This window comes from Homo sapiens, chromosome 8 (genome assembly GCF_000001405.40).
Source record: "Homo sapiens chromosome 8, GRCh38.p14 Primary Assembly".
Classification (NCBI taxonomy): Eukaryota; Metazoa; Chordata; class Mammalia; order Primates; family Hominidae; genus Homo; species Homo sapiens.
In genome coordinates, this window is record NC_000008.11 from 138,717,676 (window position 1) to 138,739,049 (window position 21,374).

The following is a 21,374-nucleotide window of genomic DNA, read 5'->3' on the forward strand; positions in this document are numbered from 1 at the left end:
GTTTAGTCCCCTTGGAGGAATACAACAGTTCCTAATTAGCACTTTGTGGTCCGGATGAAGTGGGGAACACAGGGCCAGAGGGGCTTTATCTCTGATCCAAGAGCATCAATCAGGCTGCTGCACTTCCCAGGTTCTTACAAATCATTGATGAAAAGAGCTTTGCGATGATGATGGTGGTGGTGAGCGCGGACTATCATCTTTATCCAACCATGTGTCTTTAAGATAACTAGCTTCTTGAATGACAATGTATTTCTAATATTCATATGCTATTTACTAAAACCTTTAGTGTAGATTTTAATAAGGAAATGTGGTTTTCTCATGAATGCATGGATGCACGAAAGAATGAATGAATAGGTGGTATGCAGGCTATAAAGATTTTTTGTGCAGCTATGCCAGACTCAGTTGGTACCAAAGGCCAGAACTACCAACTTATTGGAGAGAAAGACAAAAAAAAAAGAAGTAATTAAAAGTGTGGCTTAGTGTAAGCACACATTTTATCCTGTAGCGCTGGTGTCACACATCTGGAGTCAGCACTTATTAAAATTCTAGACACACTCCGATGCTCCCATCAATTCCCAATGTTTACAAGCACAATTAGTAAGAATTGCTCTAACCAGAATTGTGCAAATACTCGTCACTCAAATTGTTGCTTTCAATCTGCTAGAATAGTAGCACATTTGCAGTGGGAGTTGCTTCTTACATGCTGAGAAAGGATAAGGGGCTGAGTTTGGTTTAAAAAAAAAATTGAAGACCATCTGAAGTCCTCCCTGAATTTGGGTCGTGAACACCAATCCAAAGGCACAATGGAGGTGAAACGGTATCTTCTTGAATTCTCGAAGTGAGCCTCAAAATGTCAATGCCTCTGCTCATCCCGCAGACAGCTTTACCCTCTAAGTGGACTTTCACAAATCTGCCATCCATGACTTAGTCATCATCATCTTGGAAAATAATTTTTATCTTCAGTTGATGCTTTGTCAAAATAAAGTAACAAGACCCTCTGCCAGGGCTCCTCTAGGACTATGAGTATGTTGGAAAAGCGTCATGACCGGAGAAATTCAGTTTTAAACTTTTCAGAGAAATGTTTTGAACACAGAGCCTTAGAAATTGAATAAAAATGACACATGAGATAAAGCAGTAGGCTTCTCTGAATCTTTCAACCATGAGTGATGATCAGAAATATAAAACACATAGATTGAAAAGCTGGAGTAATCCCAGAGGGTCCCTATAATTTTAGCCCAGTAATTGTCGTAATCAATCCCCTTCATCTACAGAACCCTGCATGAGAAACTCGATGGGAATGGATTGCTTCATTACTGAATAGAAAGGTGGGGTTCATACAGTATAAACCCAGAAGGATTTGCCAATTCACAAATTTGAGGAAACACAACCATAAGGTATGGTTGACTCCATGAAATTCGTGAAGTCAAGAACAGCAAACCTAGATAAATGCTTTCAATCCTTTCTGGAAGATGATAGAATTTCAATCCAATCAATCAAACACTGAAAGGTGGCCCGAGTACTTTTAAGACCATGTGATTCACTCCCCTACACACACAACCACCTCAGGACAGGCATGAAAAAAAAACACACAGCAAATTACATGACATCACATTTCAATGTCATGGGGATCGGTGTAGACATATATTTAAATGTCAATATTGAATCTTAAAATAAGAAGGATATAGTGTCTGTCGGTGGCCATGGGGGGACTTATTGGTACACACTGGTACATTCATGGGGGCCATGAGGGCTGAGTTCCTCGGATCTGGAATCCAGGAAGTGGGAGGCTCATAGTGGCTCTTGGCAATACTCTTTCCACAGTTTGAGTCAACCTGGGTGTGCTTGAGACAGCTTGGATGCAATTTAATCTGTGTGTTTTTCTGCTTGGTTTTAATTGGGTCTTTTAAAAATGACCACTTTATGAAAGAGTGAAACAATAGGGAACATAAGGGCCCGGGATGTGCCCACCAGCACCTTCCCTGGCCAGCAAACGGATGCCCTGAGGTATGCCCTCCCACGGGGTCAGCTTCCCCCACTGTGTGGGATCCAGGCCACTCCTGTGCTCTGGCTGGGCTGAATTTGATCATGCATTCTCCACCTAGCAAGCCCGTACTGTGTATCTAAGCAGTGCTTGCCTGTGGGCGGGCAGTGGGAGGTGCAGAGTTGACTAAGACCCGGTCACTGGGTTTCAGTAGCTCATACCCCAGTAGAGCGGGAGCCCTGTGGGTGGAGGGCGGGAGGAGCAGAACTCCCCGCAATCTCCTGTCTGGCCACTGTCTCCTCAGCACCACAGGTTTCCATGCGTGCACACACACAAATGCACACGTGCACACTCACACCACACACACATGGCCCAGCAGAAAAGCCTCACAGGGCAGCAGTCACTCCTGGAGGGGGCCTGGGCAAAGCATGACCATCAACACAGGGCACTTGAGGGCTCTCCACTCACAGGGGCTGCCCTGTCCAAGTCACATGCTGGGAAGCCTCCATTTCCCCCTCAGGTCCATTTTTCACACCTCACCACCCACTGGAAGCTGGCCCGAGAAGGCTGAACTCTACGGATTGCATCTGCCAGCTTTCCTTGCCTTCTGGCTTTCTGTAGGGTCAAGGGATTAGGAAGCATCGCAGTGAAGGTAGAACACAGTTCAGAGAGAGCGAGCGAGCACTTGTATCTGTTCCTCTCACTCCCTCCCTGCCAGGATAAGCCAGACGCTGATGATATTCTTCTTCCCAAGGCCACGGCTCTCAAGGGGGTGGGGGCTCTTTCCGGCTCTCGTGGGGGATAGTGCCTTCTTCTCCAGCTGCAGATCTTGGTTCCGAGGAACCACTCCCTCCTCTGGTGCCTTCTGTCCTAGAGGTGGTGTTGGTTCTGTTGTTGCCAGCCTCATGTTGTCATCCTGGTTGGAGCCCTTAACCCTGCCCCTTTTCAAGTATCTGATGTGTCTCCTGCCAGGTCCCAGCTGATATAGACGCTATGCTTATGGTAAGTCGAGATTCACACACCACCCCAAATAGACCACTCAGAATAGCAAGCATAATGGGAAAAAGAGGCAAAGTCCATACCCGAAGGCCTGGTTTTCCAGGCAGACCATCTTCCCCTCTTTCTCCTGGTTCTCCCTGGAAGGAATACAGAGCAAAGTTAACAGGAGACGGGCCATGCTTGGATTAAACAACACAAAGTACTAGGCACAGGTTGGAAGGAAGAGAACTACCTGCACTCGGGTGGTTTTGAACTGCTTCAACTCTGCGATTACCTAACCACAGTCATCAAACACAGCAGCTCATTCAGCCTCCTAGGTTCCATATTCAATAGCTGTAATTTTGATTTAGAAAAATATAATTGAGGAGAATTGGCATTCTCTCTTATTGAGAGATTTAGAAGAAAGGAAGATGTTGCATAAGTGTTTCTAAGAATAAAAAAAATACTTGGTCAGCCATGATCCTTTGTCTCAAAAGACGGGAAAGAAAAAAATTCACAATATTTACATTCAATGCCTAGAAAACTAAATTAAATCCACACTTATTCTGTATTTTGCCATGAAGTTGACCTTGTAAGTCTGTTTATTGAAAAATGACAACACATTTTCCCGTAATATTCAACAGTTGCCTTTCCAAGTTGCCTTTCAAGGACTGTTGAGGTGCATACTTGAGTCTGGGTGTGCTCACAGGAAAGAATAAAGTTCATTTGTTCATTTGCTAAAATACTGGTATGGTTGTATAATAATTCATTTAAAGTATTGAAACCTGTATTTGCTCCCCAGTTTTATGCTATTTAACCTTTGACTCTTACCTTAATAATTCTACCATAAGCCCCACCAGAACATTGTTAAAATTGAAATCTCTTATTATGTTAGTAAGAGTATTTAGAAGTTTTCCTCCTTGAAAATAAAATAAATACATAAATAAACGTATTTCTAACAGATCAAATTTTTTTTTTGAGACAGGTCTCTCTCTGTTGCCCAGGCTATAGTGCAATGGCACAATCATAGCTCACTGCAGCCTCAAATTCCTGGGCTCAAGCAATCCTCCCACCTTGGCCTCCCAAGTGAATGGGAATACAGGTGCCCACCCCCATGCCAGGCTAATTCCTGCCTAGGCCTCCCAAAATGCTGGGATTACAGCTGTGAGCCACTGTGCCTGGCTAAATTTTAAAGCCTAGGGCTTCTAAATCCTTCTGCAGTTATCTGAGAATAAATAAGGAGCCTTCCCCCATCTGACCCCATAAATCCAAACATTTCAACTGAATCCTGATCGAAGACCCAGGCAATTGACTTGTTGTAGAATTCACCAACAATCAAGCATCTCTTTAGTTTCTGTGTTTTGGGTTCCCAAACTGGTGCCAACCGCATCAGTGACCAACCTTGGTTCCTGGCGGACCTGGTGGTCCATTTGGCCCGTCCTTTCCAGGGGGTCCCTGGGCCAAGAGGGGAAAACATAAATAAAAAGGAAAGGCATATTTAGGAAAGGCTTACATTAAGTTGTTTCAAACCAGGAGCTGTTTTTGCAGCCAGAATGCAGGAGGCTCGGGCGTCTGCTCTTTGATTAGCAGGGCCCTGTCTCCAGAGCGACTGTGGTCTCTGTCTGACCACATTTCCCTTTGTTACTACTGAAGCAAATATCACCCTCTGGGCAATGTCTGATTTTCAGTACACTGGCCATGCATGGAGGGTGGGGGCGTGGGAGGACATCTGCCAAATCTTGCTCTGATGGTTCTATTTCTACCCTCAGCTTCCAGGAGGCCCTGGGGACAACAATGTCCACACTGCTCCTCCTCTCTCCTCTCCAGAATCTTTTTGCCATCTTGTATCTTCCTTCCCACTGCTATCCTCCCTTCCTCTTGTCCTTCAAAAAAGCAAAACCTCAATCTCTCAGCATGGTTTGGCATTACTGCCTGTTATTTCGAATGCCAGCACTGAGGAGCTCCACGTTATACTTTCCAACACCAGGAGTTTCCTTCTACCATGAGGATATGGCAGGACAGGTGTTACTGCAGCTGTTTGCAGGTGAGGAGACGAAGGCTCTGCAGGCTGAGTGACTCACTCAAGGTCACAGAGCTGGTGACTGGGACCTGCAAGGTTTAACGGACTCCACCTCCAGGCTCCTTCCACTACACCAGAGACACTTCATCTTCTCCTTTTCCTCTGTGCCTTAAATGATATCGGGTCACATGGGGGCGGGGGGGGGGTGGTGGAAAACACACCCTGGGGCCTGTTGGGGTGTGGAGGGAGGTGTGCAGGGGGAGGGAGAGCATCAGGAAGAATAGCTAATGTATGCTGGGCTTAATACCCAGGTGATGGGTTGATCTATGCAGCAAACCACCATGGCACATGTTTACCTATGTAACAAGCTTGCACATCCTGCACACGTACCCTGGAACTTAAAAGTTGAAGGAAAAAAAAAATGTGTCAGGCACACACACTCTTCCCCATGACTGACATTAGGGAAATCATTTCCCCCAGCGGAATATCTTCTGTGCTATTGCTTTCAGAGCTATTAGTGCTGTTCAAAAGTGAACGTTTTTTATAACCCTGGTGATTCTTCCACCCACAGAACCTGCTGCCACCCAATTTGACTCATCTCTCCCTGTGCCTCCAGCTTGGACTGGCGACTAGTGAAAAGACAGCCCCGCCTGCACAGAGCAGGTGTCCTGGAAGCCAAGGCTTTAGGAAGGCAGGAGGAAGGGCTTTTGAGGGGATTAAGGCTGCCTGAGTCAATGAAAGCAGGATCTTGACCAGGAGCAAATGCCAAGGCCAGAAGCTGTGCTTCAAACCTTCTGTGGCTACAGCTGCATCTTGACAGATGAGAAATGCTCACAGTGTCTTTCTTCCTCTAACACGCTCCCCTCCTCTGAATGTTCACACCGATCTGCATACTTTCTGATGAGCCCTTTGGATCGGATGGGATTGCTCATGTGTTTGAGCTTTCAGATGATCCCGTCACTCATGGAAAATGTTTATTGGTGACGTTGCAGTTGACTGTGTGTTTAGAAACGTTTGCCGGTGATGGTGCCATTCAGCCAGTGTTCCTCCCACACGCAATCAGATCACCTGAGTGCCCAGCGCGGCACTGAATTCATGTCCAGTACCCTTTGGCATGCTGCACTGGGGAGCAACAGAGCTGGGGAGGACGCTGGTGTTACCACGACCACAGGCCCCCTGGGCGCCTTGATCCACATTCTCCCATGGATCTGTGCTCCATGGAGAAGTGGGGAGACCTGCCCCATGTGTTACCCAATCTGCTTCACCTCCGCCTCACCCCTCCTCCAGCATCAGGAGCCTTCCAGCTGGGGCCTTCCCCATCTGGGCTCAATGAGGGAGAACTAGCTGTAAGGAAATCCCTTTAAGGTGGCCCAGGGGCCTCCCTGAGGGTAGATCATGAGATCTACCCAGGTCTCAGCCCACGTCATCCATCATCCTGCCCTAAAGAGCTGCAAGCCAACTTTAACTGTGCCCCTCCTATCTGGGGAGACATTAATGTTTTCTAAGCTCCACCTGCCCCCTAAGATCCCCCAGGTCTCTCAGTTTGCAAGGGAGAAAACATGATCAGGATCGTAATGGGAAGGGCTGCCACACAGCTCCCCGCCTGTTGCTTCTGGTCCCCTCTGGGTATTCCTCAAGGACAAGCGGTCATGCCTTCAGCAGCAAAGGACTCTTGAATGTGTCTTTTGGTGAAAAGAGAAAGGTCAGTGGCCTAGGGACTGTGGTCCTAATCCGCACCCTGGCCAGGGCACCCAGGGAGCCTTCCCACAGACAGGGCACTAGCACGAGTGAGCCACCACAGAAAGAAGACCCAGCTGAGCTCCGGGGCTGCAGGCCTTGCTGGCCAAGGAGTCCTCAGCTCTAGGAAAGTGGCTCTGGGCCAGCTGCAAGGGCTCAGTGCTCCCCCCAGAGCAATGGGGAGAGGGAGGAGGGGAGCAGGAAGATGTTTCCGAACACTCACCGTGGGCCCAGGAGGTCCAGGCTTTCCCGGGAAGCCGATCTCTCCAGGCAAACCCTGAAAGGGGACCACATGGACCCTGTTAGCCTGGCCTGTTCAGAGATCAGATCATTGACTCAACCTCTTTCCTGGCATGGGCCCAGGCCTCTGGGTCTGAGGAGGGCACCCTGGGGCCTCTACTGTCCTTGGTCATCCGCTGTGAAACGCGGAGTTGTTGCACCTCTGAAGTTGACACGTCCGTGGCTTGTGCGGCCTGCAGTCGGGGCGTCCTTCCTATCCAATGCCACCTGCCGGGACAGAGGGAGCTGCCTCCCTCTGCTGATGGCAGGGCCTGACCCACTCCGTAGGTGGGTGTGGATTCTCCCCACTCCCCCATGCCCACTTTCAGGACACTTTTTCAGCAGCCCCAAAAGATGGGAGGGGAAATGTTAGCAAATGCTTGCCCGGGTCCTCTGTTTTGCCTCAAAGCCAAATCACAAACTACAAAAAGACATCCGAATGGGCAACCCCAGGCTAACATGCCTTCTACATGCTGGACTCTGGAGGCAGCCACCAAAGTGCCACATTAGCTCCAGTGATACTCTAACCTAAGGGTTCCGAAGGTCGGAGAGTCCAGAAGCTGGCGGTTCTACGTGTCGGGGTCCTCCTGTGTGTGTTTTTGCACTGGACTTGGGTGGATAAAAGACAAGAGGCCATTCACAAAGATGTCCCCAGGTCCCACAGGCCAGGAAACCACCATCTAAGAGCCCCTGTAGAAAATCAAAGCCAGTCTTACCGGAGAACCTCCCGGTCCAGGGGGGCCTGGGACACCAGGGGGTCCTGGAGGGCCCTGTAGAGAAAGAGCATTTGGTGGGCTACAGATGGGTCCTGATGAGCCTCCTAGGGACAGTGGGCATTTGAAAGAGGCAAAGGGAAGGGGACAGGAGGATGAGGTGGGATTTTAACTTTATTTGTAATGCCTGATTTTTCAAACAAAAATAAGCAAAAGCAAAAGGAAAAGATTGGAACCAAAATTTGCAAAATGCTAACATTTCATATTTGGGTGATGGGCATGCCATCGCCTGTAATATTATCTATTCTGCTATATATTCAAAATGTTTGAACATTTAATGTAAATACATATATGTGTGCACATGTGCAGACACACACACACACACACACACACACACACACACACACACACACACATAGTCTGACCCATGCATAAAGGCCTTCCAGAAGAGTGCTTCTCAATCATGAGTCATTGAGCAGGGCTGGCGCCAGGATCAGAATCACCAGGGGTGAGTAAAAAGATCTCACGCCCAGGCCTTCTGGTTCTCTAGGTATGGGGTGAGTGGGTCTCGCATCTGTACTTGTGAAGGTTCCCCCGTGATTCTATGGAGATCAGTCCTCACAGCTGCTTGACAGATGTAGATTCTTGTGCTATTTAAATCATTCATGGTCTACACTTAAACTTTGGGGCATCTTCACGGGCCAGGAACAGAAGCAGGTACTGTTAGCAAACAGAAACGTAAGACCCGTTTCCAAGCTCCTGTCTTGGTTGAGGGGGAGGGCTGGGGAGGGGAGAAACATGTAGACAAATAATTACGGTAGAAAAGGGCTGGGCATGGTGGCTCACAACTGTAATCACAGGACTTTGGAAGGCTGAGGCAAAAGGATCACTACAGGCCAGGAGTTTGAGACTAGACTGGGCAAAATAGCAAGACCCTATCTCCCTAGAAATAAAAAAATAAAAATTAACTGGTCATAGGGGCTCTTGCCTGTAGTCCCAGCTACTCAGAAGGCTGAGGCGAGAGGATTGTTTGAGACTGGGAGTTTGAGGCTGCAGTGAGCTGTGATTGTGCCATTGTACTCTGGCCTGGGTGCAGAGCAATATCCTGTATCTACAAAAAAAAAAAAAAAGAAAGAAAAAAAGACAAATGGCCCAACTAAACCTATGAGCACAGATCTAGGTCCAGGGGGTCCTGGGACACCAGGTCGTTCTTGCACCTGGGAGTGATGCTGCACTCAGAGGGATGAAGGCAAGTGGGCAGAGAAGGCACCTGAGTACTGAAGAAAGCCCGAGAAATAAACAACAAGGCAGGTGGGCTGCATTCATAAAGGCCGGCTGCTGTTGAAGGTATTGCGTTTTGAATGACAGCCAACAGTTCCACATGAAGAGAGTGTGGGCCTGCACAGGGCAGATGGAGGCTGAGCCAGGACCTCAGAGGCCACGGGCTGTCATAGTGAGGAGGAGCGACTTTGCCGTGAAGGTCTTGGAAGTAACTGAAGGAGCACAAGAAGACGTGTATGGTCACACGTGTGTCCAGGAAAGCAGCCTGCAGTCTGGGGTGACCAGAGGGAGGAAGGGTGGACATGGGGTTATAAGCAGGGGCGAGCTGGAATCACACAACACCAGGGCTGGGAGGGAGAGTGGATGTGGCGTTCTGCATATATCCAGGTTCCTGATAGTCCTCACGCAGGGACCCGCTCATTTTAGAACAGCCAGTGATCCCACAGCTGAACCACCTTCAGTGGCTCTGATTTTCTAAAGGGTAGTGCTCTTCCAAGCGAGTTCACCACGCCCTCCTCCCTCAGCTCCAGCACCACAGCGTCCAGAAGGTGCAGATGACTTTTCTAGCTCAGGTTTCTCTCTGGATACCCCCTCCCCTCCCCTCCTCCCACACCTCCCTTCTGAGCCATCTCCACCTTTCTGAGATGGTCTCCAATTCCCCAGTGGAATTAAACTCTCCCTGCTCCGTGCTCAAAACCAACTTAACTGTGCTGATCTGATCCACAGATCCTCGAGGGCAGGCCCTTCTTGTTCCCCCTGCACCTCACACAGTGATTATCCTAGGGTGTGGCATCCAGCAGGCGCTCAGTAAATGCTTGAGGCAATCTCCTGAATTGAGCCAGAAGCCGAGAGCCTGGGTTTGCATTCAGAAAGAACAACACTGCATGGCCACTAGAGGGCGAGAAATACCAAAAAATGGCAGAGGTGGCCGCATCGGTGAACTGTTCCCCTTTCTCCCTCTGGGGGCACCCGTGAGTCAGAAAACAGGCATAGACCAGGACCATTTACTGAACAGGATTTGGGGGCACCTGGACCTAGTTTTCTCGGCAGCTCGCTCCGTCCTGGCAAGTCTTAGGGGTAGCATCTTCCCTCATCAGACACATTTGTTCACAGCTGGAGCAACGGAGGGGCAGGGCAGGGCTGCAGGGTGCCCTGGGCAGGTTCCAACCTGGGTCCTCCCTAATGGACGAGGGCTGCTGGAAGGCTTTAAAGAAGCCTCCCGGCCTTGCTGTATCGTGGGCTGAGCCTTACTACCTCCACAGACTGCTCCAGCTTGGCCCCTCACTTCTCTCAGCAAAGCAAGAGCCCTGCAGTGACACTCACAGCTCCCACACACTCCAGAGGCACATTCCAGGCAATGTTTTTTTGTTTTTGTTTTTGTTTTTTGAGATAGGGTCTTGCTCTGTTGCCCAGGCTGGAGTGCAGGGGTGCAATCATAGCTCACTGCAGCCTCCAATTCCTTGGCTCAAGTGATCCTCCTGCCTCAGCCTCCTGAGTAGCTGAGACTACAGGCGTGTGCTACCATGCCTAATTTTATGATTTTTTTGTAGAAACAGGGACTTGCTATATTGCACAGGCCGATCTTGAACTCCTGGGCTCAAGCAATCCTCTGCCTCAGCCTCCCAAAGCACTGGGGTTATGGGGGTGACAGGTGATCTAATTTTACCTCAACACGGTCTTTGAGGGCCTCATAGCACCCCAAGCCCACAGAGCATATCCGAAGGCCCTTCCCAAGCATACAGGAGTCTCTTTGTTAGCAGTCTGAATGAACAATTCAGTTCCCTTCCCTCCTTACATGTCTAAGGATGCCGATGACCTCTGGAGTGTTTTATGCTTTTTCAAAAAAGGTGAGCCCAGGAAGCCGGCCCCCTGACCAGCCCCTCGCTCTGGCCCTGCTTGCCTTCCTCCTTTGCCCCTTGCGAACACCCTTGCCCTGCTGCTGCTTGCTAGTTTTGGAGTCTCATAGCACGTTAGAGGTGATGGCTCTTTAGCGGTCTCCTAGTGGAAATTAAACCTCCTTGTCTGACAATGAAGAAAACTGAGGCCCAAAGAGGGTCAGGACCCACTTTAGGTCACACAGCCATCATCTCTGGCTGCTGCAGATACACCTGGAGGGCCTGTCACAAATGCAGGTACACAGAACCCTTGTTTAGATTCAGAGACAGCAGGTCAGGGACAGGCCCCAAGGGTCAGTGACTTTTGAGACACCAGGTAATTCTGATGAGCTGCCAGGTTTGGGCATGACTCGTCCAGGCCAGCTCCGTATTCCATCACCACCACCACTAGCACTGCTGATGAGCCCGTGAGCATAACATCCCAGGAAGAAGCACAACCCGGGAGAGAGAAAAAAACCAGAAAGGCAGGACAAGGGGCTCGGCCACCTCCATTCAGTGTATGCTCCACCTGTGTTTCATACACCAGCTCATTCCAGCCCTCCACTGGCCATGGGAGGCTGGGCTTTTTCATTAAATTTACAGAGGAGGAAAATGAACTGATATTAGATAAAGCTCATATATGGATACAGCACCCTGATCCCTTCTCTCCTCCCAAGCCCAGTACCCCAGCCTTGCAAACTGTCTGTACAGTCCCCACTCAAGGACACGGGTCTCACCCTGCTGTTACAGCCCCTTTCCACCCTTTAACACAATGAGATCTCCTAAAAGACTCTGCATGTTAAGGGAGACTAGAACTTAGGGCTCTAAATATGGGTTTGAAGATCTCAAAGTCTATCTCCCTGGTAAGACCACAGCAACTGGTTCCATGCTATGCACACAGCAGAGGTTGAGTCACTGTCTGCTTGTTTGATGCTGTACACTTCGGAAAGAGAGGGAAAGCCTACCCAGTCATTAAACCTAGCAACTGCCGTAGCCATTTACAGAGAGAGAGAAGCTGGAAGCAGCTGGAAGCAACTGTCTGAAAGTCTGGAAAGCTCTTCCAGGAGGGATCACAAAAAGGGTGAGGTGATTTGCTTCCAGCCTCTTTTCCAATTTACAGGGGACGTGCTCACAAGTCCAAGTGGGAAACGCCAGGTGTGGTGGCAGGAGGGAACAGCCCTCAGGATCCAGCTGCAGCCAACCTACCCCAGACCCTGGTCTCTTGGCCATGCTCTGCCTTCAGATGGCCACAGAGAGCCACACAGTGTGGGCAGAAACTCTAAATAGAGCAGCCGCCTCGCCTTGGGGGTTACATTCAGCCTTGTCCTGATTACCACACAGGTGCTGAAGCTGGGACTTCAGCTCTGGCATAACTCGCTTTGTTTCTGACACAGCCTCAGGCCAGCTGTGGGGAGGGCTGGTGAGGGAGGGGTAGGAGGACAGGAGCATCCTGTGAGGACCTGGACGTGAGGGCCTTTCAGCCCACGGCTAGGATAGCTATTTCTACTTTGGCACTCCCCCAAAAGGAAGGGAGAAAACTGAATTTCCTAAAGCACTGACTATATGCTTGGCATCCTACAAGGATTTTGTCCATATTACCACAAGGCCCCTGGACAGTATCTGTCTCCCTGCCCATGTGCAGGTCCCTGCACTCAGGGTCTGGGAAGATTCACACCTTGGATGGAAGAGGGTGTCAACAGGTGACAGGGTGTGGGTGATGCCTTTAAAGGGAGAGGGGCAGTGGGCAGGCACAGCTTTGATCCTTAAAGCCAAGGACCTGCACTATCCTGGAGCACCTGGAAGAAGTTATCCCTGGAGACCCAGTATGGCGGTGGGCAGGGCTCCTTCCCCCAGCCAACGCCTACTACGTACCGCTGTGTTCTCTCTGGGGTCTTAAGACAACTCAGCCCTCCACTCCAGAAAATTACAGCCTAGTAAGACACATAAAACACAGGCCTCTGGTGTCCCGGGAAAAGCATCAGAGGGCTTAGGATCGAAGGCAGGGTTATATTTTGAGCAGCTGTGTGACTTACGGCAAGGGTTTCTAAAAATATATAGTAGGTACAAAAATACTTTCTGTGCAGAATTGTTTTGTATAAAAACCATGGCTTCCGGCATGTAGCAGAATTCATGAGATACCTGTTGAAAAGAATGAAAACAGAGAGACAAAAGAGGTGCTCGAAGGCCACGGAGCTCAGAGGAAGGCATGGTAGAGAAATCAGGAGCATCTCGAAAAGTGGGGTGAGCTTGCTGTGGAAGGGCTTAGTAGGGCCTGAACAGAGGGGAGTGGAATAGGAGAGGAAGGAAGCCACAGGAGGATGGAGCTGCTGAGCCATGGCTAGATGGGAGGGGGAGGGGAGGAAGAGACACACACACCCGGGGCAAGAAAACAAGGCTTTGTCTTCGAGGGAGCACAAAAATAATAGAGGTGGCATCAAAGAGTGACACAAAAAGACTTATGCTTAGAAAGACACATTTCTAGGCTGGGCGCATTGGCTCACACCTGTAATCCCAGCACTTTGGGAGGCCGAGGCGGGCAGATCACCTGAGGTCGGGAGTTCAAGACCAGCCTGGCCAACATGGAGAAACCCCATCTCTACTAAAAATACAAAATGAGCCAGGTGTGGTGACGCATGCCTGTAATCACAGCTACTAGGGAGGCTGAGGCAGGAGAATCGCTTGAACCTGGGAGGCAGAGGTTGCAGTGATCCAAGATTGCACCATTGCACTCCAGCCTGGGCAACAAGAGCAAAACTCCGTCTCAAAAAAAATAAATAAAGACACATTTCTAGTGTCCTTAGCAGCCAATGGTAGGAGGAAAACTTGCAAGATGAGAGACCATGAGACAAATATGAGAGCAGGCAGAAGGCAGCCAGCGCCAGCACTGGAAGAAGGTGATAGGGGGAGGGATGCAGGCAGACCAGGGGCAGGTCTGAGCCAGAGCTCAGTGGTGATGCGGTGACCAGCTGGATTGGGACTGGGACACAACCTGATACTCAAAAGGGGAGGGCCTTGCAGGGGAATGGGCAGGTGTGTGGGGTTGCTGTGGGGCATGATGGATTCAGTTTTGATCTATTTGATGTGTTTAGTTAAAAAGTCTACAGGGCCTGAGAGAGAGAGAGAGAGTGAGTTCTGGGGGTAACTGTGAATGTAAACAGAGTGCTGGTCTACCCGTGCTGCTGTTGGCTGAGGGATCCCAGAAAGCTCTTGCATTTTCCAGATAAGAGAACACTCTGTAACAGAGGCTCCACATCATCTCAGCTTTCCTGGATGACATAATGGCACTTCAGCATCTTCCATGGCCTTGGGGGACCTTACCGTGAGGCTCAATAGCTACTGTTGAGTTTGGACCAATCTTCTTTGGCCTTCTGATAAATCAGTACCCTCATTTTATGTCCTTTTTTCTTCTGGAAATCAAGTTGAACAATACCTCAAACAGAACAGCCATTTGAGTTACCTCACTGGTAAGTTTCCCAATGAAACCAGAAGACTAATTGCCAAATCATAGGAGAGCAATATTGAACTCATTTTCTATCTTTTTCTGCAAATACTTGAATGGCATTTGGGTTTTCTAGGACTAGAAAGCCCCTTTCCCTTCCTCTCCTCCACTTTCTCCCGCCAAAAAATGTCTAGAAAGCCAAAGATTCTACACATTATTGTCCTTTTATAGATGAGAATATTAGAGTTTCCAGTCTTTCAAGAAAGAATGGGACTACAGGAAGGCCAAGAATAAAACGCAAGAAGCGACACTGTCAGGAGCACTCACAGGTGCTGCGGGCAAGTCACTCTTCCCCTGTGGGCCAGGGAACAGATAGGTAGAAATTTACGTAAGAAAAATCTGGGACTTTGGTTGAGGATGACCTGGGTCAAATCCCAGGTGGCCTCATACTATGTCAATGGACTTGGACAATGGACTTCTCTCAGAGCCTCATTCCAGCTGCCATAAAACGGTTGGAGGCCCCTTCTTCAAATCACTACGTGTGAATTAAAGAAGTGTGAACTAGGCCAGAACTCAGAGGACTTCACAAATGTTACTTTTCTTTCTTCTCATTTAATTGTTAACAAAATATCTAAACAACCAAATCATCTAATTATTAATGAGTAACAAATTAGTCAACAGACATAAATATTAACAACAAAATATGACTGTTCTCATTATTAGTAATGAAAACAAGTAATTAACCACTTATTAATTAACCAGTCCAATTACTAATGAAGAAACACTTGGTCCCTCTAATACTACAGTGACTATTTAATATGATTAGTAGTTACAATGATGATGCATGAATGACTAATTAACCTAATTATCATTAGTAAAGAATAATTATTCCTAATAACCACCTAGTTCCAATTGGATTTATAAAGTTAGATGGAATTTGAAGATGCATGAAAATTACTTGCATAAATTAGCATGACAATCAAATTCCTTCGTGACTTGGACATGTTTATTTTGGGGGGAAGCAGTTCATAATTTGGGAGTCTTCCTCTGAGATGGTAGATCCCTGTGGCACTAACCCTATGACTTCCCACTTCAAGGGGTTTCTGCACAGAGGCCCAGGCCCACAGCCCACCCAGCCTCTTCTCGGGCCAAGCCCTCCCCTGCCTGCATTTCCACCAATTCAAGGGACTTTGTCCTGAGCACAGCACCAAGCCGCACTGCCTGCACATAAACACTTGGCCAGCCCAGACACCAGATTTCCAATTTTCCTAAAAGGCTGCCAGGATACAGGAGTCACCACATAGGACATCATGGATGTATAGATTTATTGTAAAATTTTCTAGCAGGTGGAATATTTCATTCTGAAAGACAGGCATAAAAAGCATCTTATAGGATCCCAGCCACCCTGGGGCTTTGCACGCTCCAAGATGGCAGTGCTGGCTCTTCCCATAACGCAAAGCTAATTAAACTCTCTGAGCTTGGTTTCTCTAGATTTTAAATGAGGGTAAGCAATTTTGCTCACAGGCAGTTATAAAGAATAGACACGATTATATATGAAAGCTAAAGAGAATGCTTGGCAACAGCAGAAACTAAACACACATGTTTCCCTTTACTTCTCCCCACTGCTCTTTCAGGGATAGGCTGCCATGGGATCAACCTCGGTTTTCCAGGTCAGTGTCAAGATCCTGCTCTGGGCCTCCACAGAGCCCTGACCTCCTCTCCAAAGCTCAGCTCAGTGGATTCTCCTTCCAGATTAATCCTGTGCTTTTGTTTGATGATGCTTTCACATCTTGAGGCCTTGTGGATGCAGGGAGGGCCTTCCCCTTCCAGGATTAGCTACCTAGAGATAGCAAAGGACTTGCTTGAGAGTAGGACCCTGATCTGCAAATTAGCCCATCCCTAGTCCACCTTCTTCAATCAGGCCCCTGTGGTGTGGGACAGGACACTACCTCTCTGCCCTAAATCACCCCTGGACCAGGTACTAGACCGTGAGAAACCACCTGTACAGCTTGGAGCCTGCGGAAATTATTCAAACTGTCCAATCCTAAGCCTGCTCAGCAACTGACCCTGCCTCGCCCTTGACCAGTAGTGGCTCCTGCCCAAGTTTGCCTTTCACCCTTTCTGCCTCCAAACTGCCTCTGTTGCTCCCCGAAAGCTCTGCGGGAAATAGACGCTCCCATCCATGGAAACTGTGAGGAGCAAAACTGTCTTCAATGACAGTCGTCTTCTGATCTGTTGGCCTCACCTTGCCTGAATAAATATGAGATTTAGGGTTCAGATGAAAACACCTCCTCTATCTGTGTCTCTTTCTGGCCCATTAATGTACGAATTCTCATGGCATAGACTGCAGTTACTTAGATTTTACGTCCCCAGGGCTGAATTTGGTACCCAGTGCGTACTTAATAAAAAACTGTTGAATGAATAAATCCATGAATGAATAAGCAAATGCATGATAGTAAGCAGGAGAAAACAGAGGCCAGGCCCAGGCAAGGTAGACACATGGATATGTCAGGAAGAGTGAATTAGAGGAAATGGCTGAGATGCATAGAAACCCAGGCTCTGGCCGTGGAGAAACAGGAACGCTTTTACACTGTTGGTGGGAGTGTAAATTAGTTCAACCACTGTGGAAGACAGTGTGGCAATTCCTCAAGGATCTAGAACCAGAAATACCATTTGACCCAGCAATCCCATTACTGGGTATATACCCAAAGGATTATAAATCATTCTACCGTAAAGACACATGCACACGCATGTTTATTGCAGCACTATTTACAATAGCAAAGACTTGGAACCAACCCAAATGCCCATCAATGATAGACTGGATAAAGAAAAGGTAGCATATGGAAAACTATGCAGCCATAAAAAAGGATGAGTTCATGTCCTTTGTAGGGACATGGATGAAGCTGGAAATCATCATTCTCAGCAAACTAACACTGGAACAGAAAACCAAATACCACATGTTCTCACTCATAAGTGGGAGTTGAACAATGAGAACACATGGACACAGGGAGGGGAACATCACACACTGGGGCCTGTCAGTGGGTTGGGGGAAAGGGGAGGGAGAGCATTAGGACAAATACCTAATGCATGTGGGACTTAAAACCTAGATGACGGGTTGATAGGTGCAACAAACCACCATGGTACATGCATACCTACGTAACAAACCTGCACGTTCTGCACATGCATCCCAGAACTTACAGTAAAATAAAATTAAACTTTGAAGAAAAAGAAACCTGGCCTCTTAGCGTAAGAGTGGCTGACCTGAACACAGCTTCGATTCCATCAGGCAGTGGCCCCATCCAGGCCACCAGGTGGTACATACTGCAAATGCTATATTGCCTGGTTCTGAACCACTGAGATCCCTGAACACATCAGGGTGCACAATTACAGGGTGCTACTCCCTGCCATGAAAGCCTGGTAATATTTATATCTATAGCACACAGCTCAATGTCTGGCCTTCAGTAAAGATTCACTGAATGAAAATGACTTCAAAGTTAAAAATGAAAGAACGAAATCTCTTTTCCCAGAAAACAAACAAAGAGTTGTAGGGGGAAAAATTATAGCTTAAAATAATTTGATCGAGCTGCATTGATGGTGAATTTTAAAATACACAAGGTTGACTCACTATGAAGCAAGGTAATAAAACATAAGGCAAAACCCACTCTATTTTTCATTATTAATAGCAAAATGCCACAGTGAATGTGAAATCTTTAGAACACTGTGAATTATGATGGATCGTATATTCTTATTCCCTGCTGCATCCTGACCTGAGTCAAGGGTGCAGAAATGAAGTCTCAGATTGCATCCAAGGTGCCATCTTTCACTAGAGTGCTTTCATGTCAGCCAGTAGGAAAAACTGGCTTCTGAAGTGCAGTGAGCAGTGTTTTCGGGATGAGTGCCTCCCTGCCAACGAGGGACGGACAGTGTGACCGCCACCCCGGGGAATCTGGTGTGGAGGTGGGGCTGTCCAGTCCCGAGTGGTGCTGAAGCCAGCTGCTTTACCACAGCTCCAGGAGGACCAAACGGAAGAGCCCAGCAGTGACTTGTGCCCACCTGCTTGGTGCCAAAGAGGCCAGGGGAACAGGGACAGCCACATCTGTCTACCCCCTGTGCGCTATGCCTCAGGACCTCATTATCACCTCTCATAGTCACTGCTCTTCTCCTCAACCTTCAGGTGTGCCCTCCTTTTTTATGGCGAGAGCTGAGCACTGGGTTCCTTCTGTGCCTTCTGCTTGCTGATCCTGCTTCAGCATGAACTTACTGATGCCAGGGGAGGCCCAGATCAGGGGACAGGAGTGAAGCTTTGGTGGGTGGGGGGCTCAAAGAAAGGATGAAGGGAATTCTGTACACTGCAAAGGCCCGGCAGAGAGCTTCAGGGGCTTGCCATGTTTTGTCCACACTGTGGTACCCTGTGGGGGACCCATGGTGATGCTGCATTTGAAAATAAGGAAGACTAAGACAGTTTAGGGCCTCGGTCATGCAGGGAGGAAGGGATTTGAAGCCAGGCATCTGCCTAGCAGAGGGTGGCCCTGAGTGAAGCCCTCTGCGCCTGGAGCCTCACCCCTCATCTATGACATGGGGACAAGGACCCTGAGGGTGCCTATCTAGATGGGTGGGTGTCAGGATCCACATGGCCGGCACTAGGATGGCACAGCTGGACCTGTGGAAGCAGAGCCAAGTATGGCCTGTGGGAGTTGGGCCAAGTATGAGGACAGAGGAAGCTACACCAGAACTGAGTCCTAAGAGACCCAGAGAAGCTGGAAGAAGGAGGAGGAGGCAGAGAATCCAGGGAGCGAGAACAGCACCTGCCTAGGAACAGAGGCCTCTGAGACTGGGGCCCTAACCCCATCATTTTACAGATGGGGAAACTGAGGCCCCATCTCAGTTTGAGCAGGGGAAGGACTTGGCCAATGTCCCAGTGTTTTGGAGGACAGACTGAGACCCAAACCCAGGCCTCTTAGCTCCTATGATAGTGGCCGCCCTTTTGGTTTTCTGGCCTCTGTGGCTGATCCCCTTACAACTCTCACTGGGTTCATCTTCCTACCCCTGCTGCTCCATGCCCTGTGCTCCAGCGGCACCACATGCTGCTCCATTCCTGCCCAGCGCTGCGCTGCGGCCCACCAGGTCCCTGCAGAGCTGTGCCCCAGGGAAGGCCCTCCCTCCGCTCATTCCAGCCTGGCTGGCAGTGCCTTGTCTGCCAAGGCGAGACAAGCCTCTTCATGACTGATTTCCCCACCACCTCGTCCTGGGGTCCCCCTTCGCCTCCCAGCACTTCCCTTTCTCCTAGGACTGCTCATCACTTTTATCACCCCCATCTGCCTCCAGATGGAAATTCCTTCAGGATAGCCAACAATGGCCATTCAGCTCCCACACAGGACAGCACAGGAGGAGGGAGGGAGGACACGTGACCCACTGGCTGTTCTTTTTAATAGTTTGATGAGGTGACCAGCAGGATTCTGGCTGCCCACCTGAGAGCTGCTGCCTGGTCATTTATTTAATCAGAGAAAAGCAGCGTTGCTATGGAAGAGAATGTAAAAGGTAGTTACCTGCAGCCCCAGCAATCCAGGGATTCCAGGTGGTCCCATGTCACCTTTCTTCCCCTGAGTGTAAAAGAAGAAGCTAAAATTAACAAGCAGGCAATTGTCAACCAGAGGGGGTTTAATAATGAGTCTCGGTGGACATTTGGGTCTTTATTACTCTCAACCTCCCAGATTAACAATTGTCCCTCAGGAGTGCCCCACAGAGGAACAATGTGGGATCAGAAAAAGGACTCAGGCTTTTTCTGAGGTCAGCAGTAAGGCTTGGGATCCCAGCTCTGTAACTTAAATGTGTTCGGTAACTCATGGACCCATGTTCAAAAGATACAGAAAGGTATACCCAAGAAAAGTCTCCTTTTAATCCCAGTCTCAGCCACTCAGTTCCTTTCCTTGGAAACAACTAATCTTACTAGATGCTGGTTAATTTTCCCAGAGAGATTTTATGCATTGGTAAGCCTTACACACGCACACACACCAACACACACACTCCCCCGTCCCCCGTTTCTTCACAGACTTCAGCTTGCCATTCAACCTGTTAAACTTTGCTTCTTTGTTTCCATTTAATTTATCTAAGCCACATCCCATATCACATGGAGAGTTGCTGGTATCCTTTATACAAGTGCATGGTTTTCCCTGTGCAAATGAGGCATGATGCATTGAAACAACCCCCTCCTCGTGGCTAGGTAGGTTACTTAGGGCGTTTCTGCTCTTCTGCTGTGGGAATCCACGCTTCAGTGCATACATGTTCAGTATCCAGCAGGGTGATGTTGTGGGGTGACCTGAGGCCATCTCCTTAAATAGGGGTAAGGTGTGTGTTGGTTAGTTTAATTTACATAATGTGGTAATGGCATATATTGTATAACAGAGGTTATCTGAAGAACAGAATACAGCCCTTTTTGGCATTGTCCTGGTGGTTTTCTTGATTAAATAAAAGCACTACAATCAAGAATTGAAAGTAAAATAAGACCTTGATAAGATCTACATTTTTTTGAGTGTCTATTTCACGGCAAACTCTCTTTCTAGTTCTTCCCACCTGATCCTTTCCTAATTTACTCTGCAAGAGGACCCTGGAATGCCCATGTTCTCATCCCATTGACGAGTGTGCAAATCGAGGCTCAGACCTCATGTCTCTCTTGTTGCACAGCTAGTAAGGGGCAGAGTTCAGATCACACCCAGTTCTATGCAGACTTGAAGCCTGTACCAATATTGCTGGCTTCTCAGGGCTCTGAAGAATTAAAAGGGATGCTTTCTACAAAATAACTCTAAGTGTATCTGTGAGATTGTAAAACTTGATATCGTCCTCTCCTCTCATTCAGCAACTCTGGCCCTCTTCTCTCTGCCCCTTGGTGACTCTTGCTTTTCTCTACTGTCCCGGAATCTCCAACTCAGGCACACCCTGGGAGCAACAGGGAGGATGGATTAAGGCTGTTCAAGTTGCTTCTCTCACTGCCCAGCATAACCCATAACATTGCCTTGGACCAGCGCACCATTCTCTCTCCCCAGAACCACTGCAGTAGCCTTCTAAACAGTGCCTC

General features: G+C 48.5%; 1 protein-coding gene across 13 annotated transcripts in view; it reads right to left on the reverse strand.

Moving 5' to 3' along the window:
- The window catches only part of COL22A1 (collagen type XXII alpha 1 chain), a 325,807-nt gene that overhangs the window by 129,441 nt on the left and 174,992 nt on the right, over positions 1-21,374 (reverse strand). For 10 of the 13 annotated variants that reach the window (XR_001745487.2, XM_017013150.3, XM_011516886.4 and 7 more), the window contains 5 exons: positions 19,849-19,902; positions 7,712-7,765; positions 6,940-6,993; positions 4,361-4,414; positions 3,064-3,117 (listed from right to left, as the gene is read on the reverse strand). Coding sequence is in view for 12 of the 13 variants with exons in the window: in XM_017013150.3 (XP_016868639.1) it covers positions 3,064-3,117; positions 4,361-4,414; positions 6,940-6,993; positions 7,712-7,765; positions 19,849-19,902 (270 nt within the window). In the remaining variant the exon portion in view is untranslated. The remainder of the gene's footprint in view (positions 1-3,063; positions 3,118-4,360; positions 4,415-6,939; positions 6,994-7,711; positions 7,766-19,848; positions 19,903-21,374) is intronic. The other 3 variants (XM_011516885.3, XM_047421412.1, XM_017013151.2) reach the window with 2 other exon arrangements.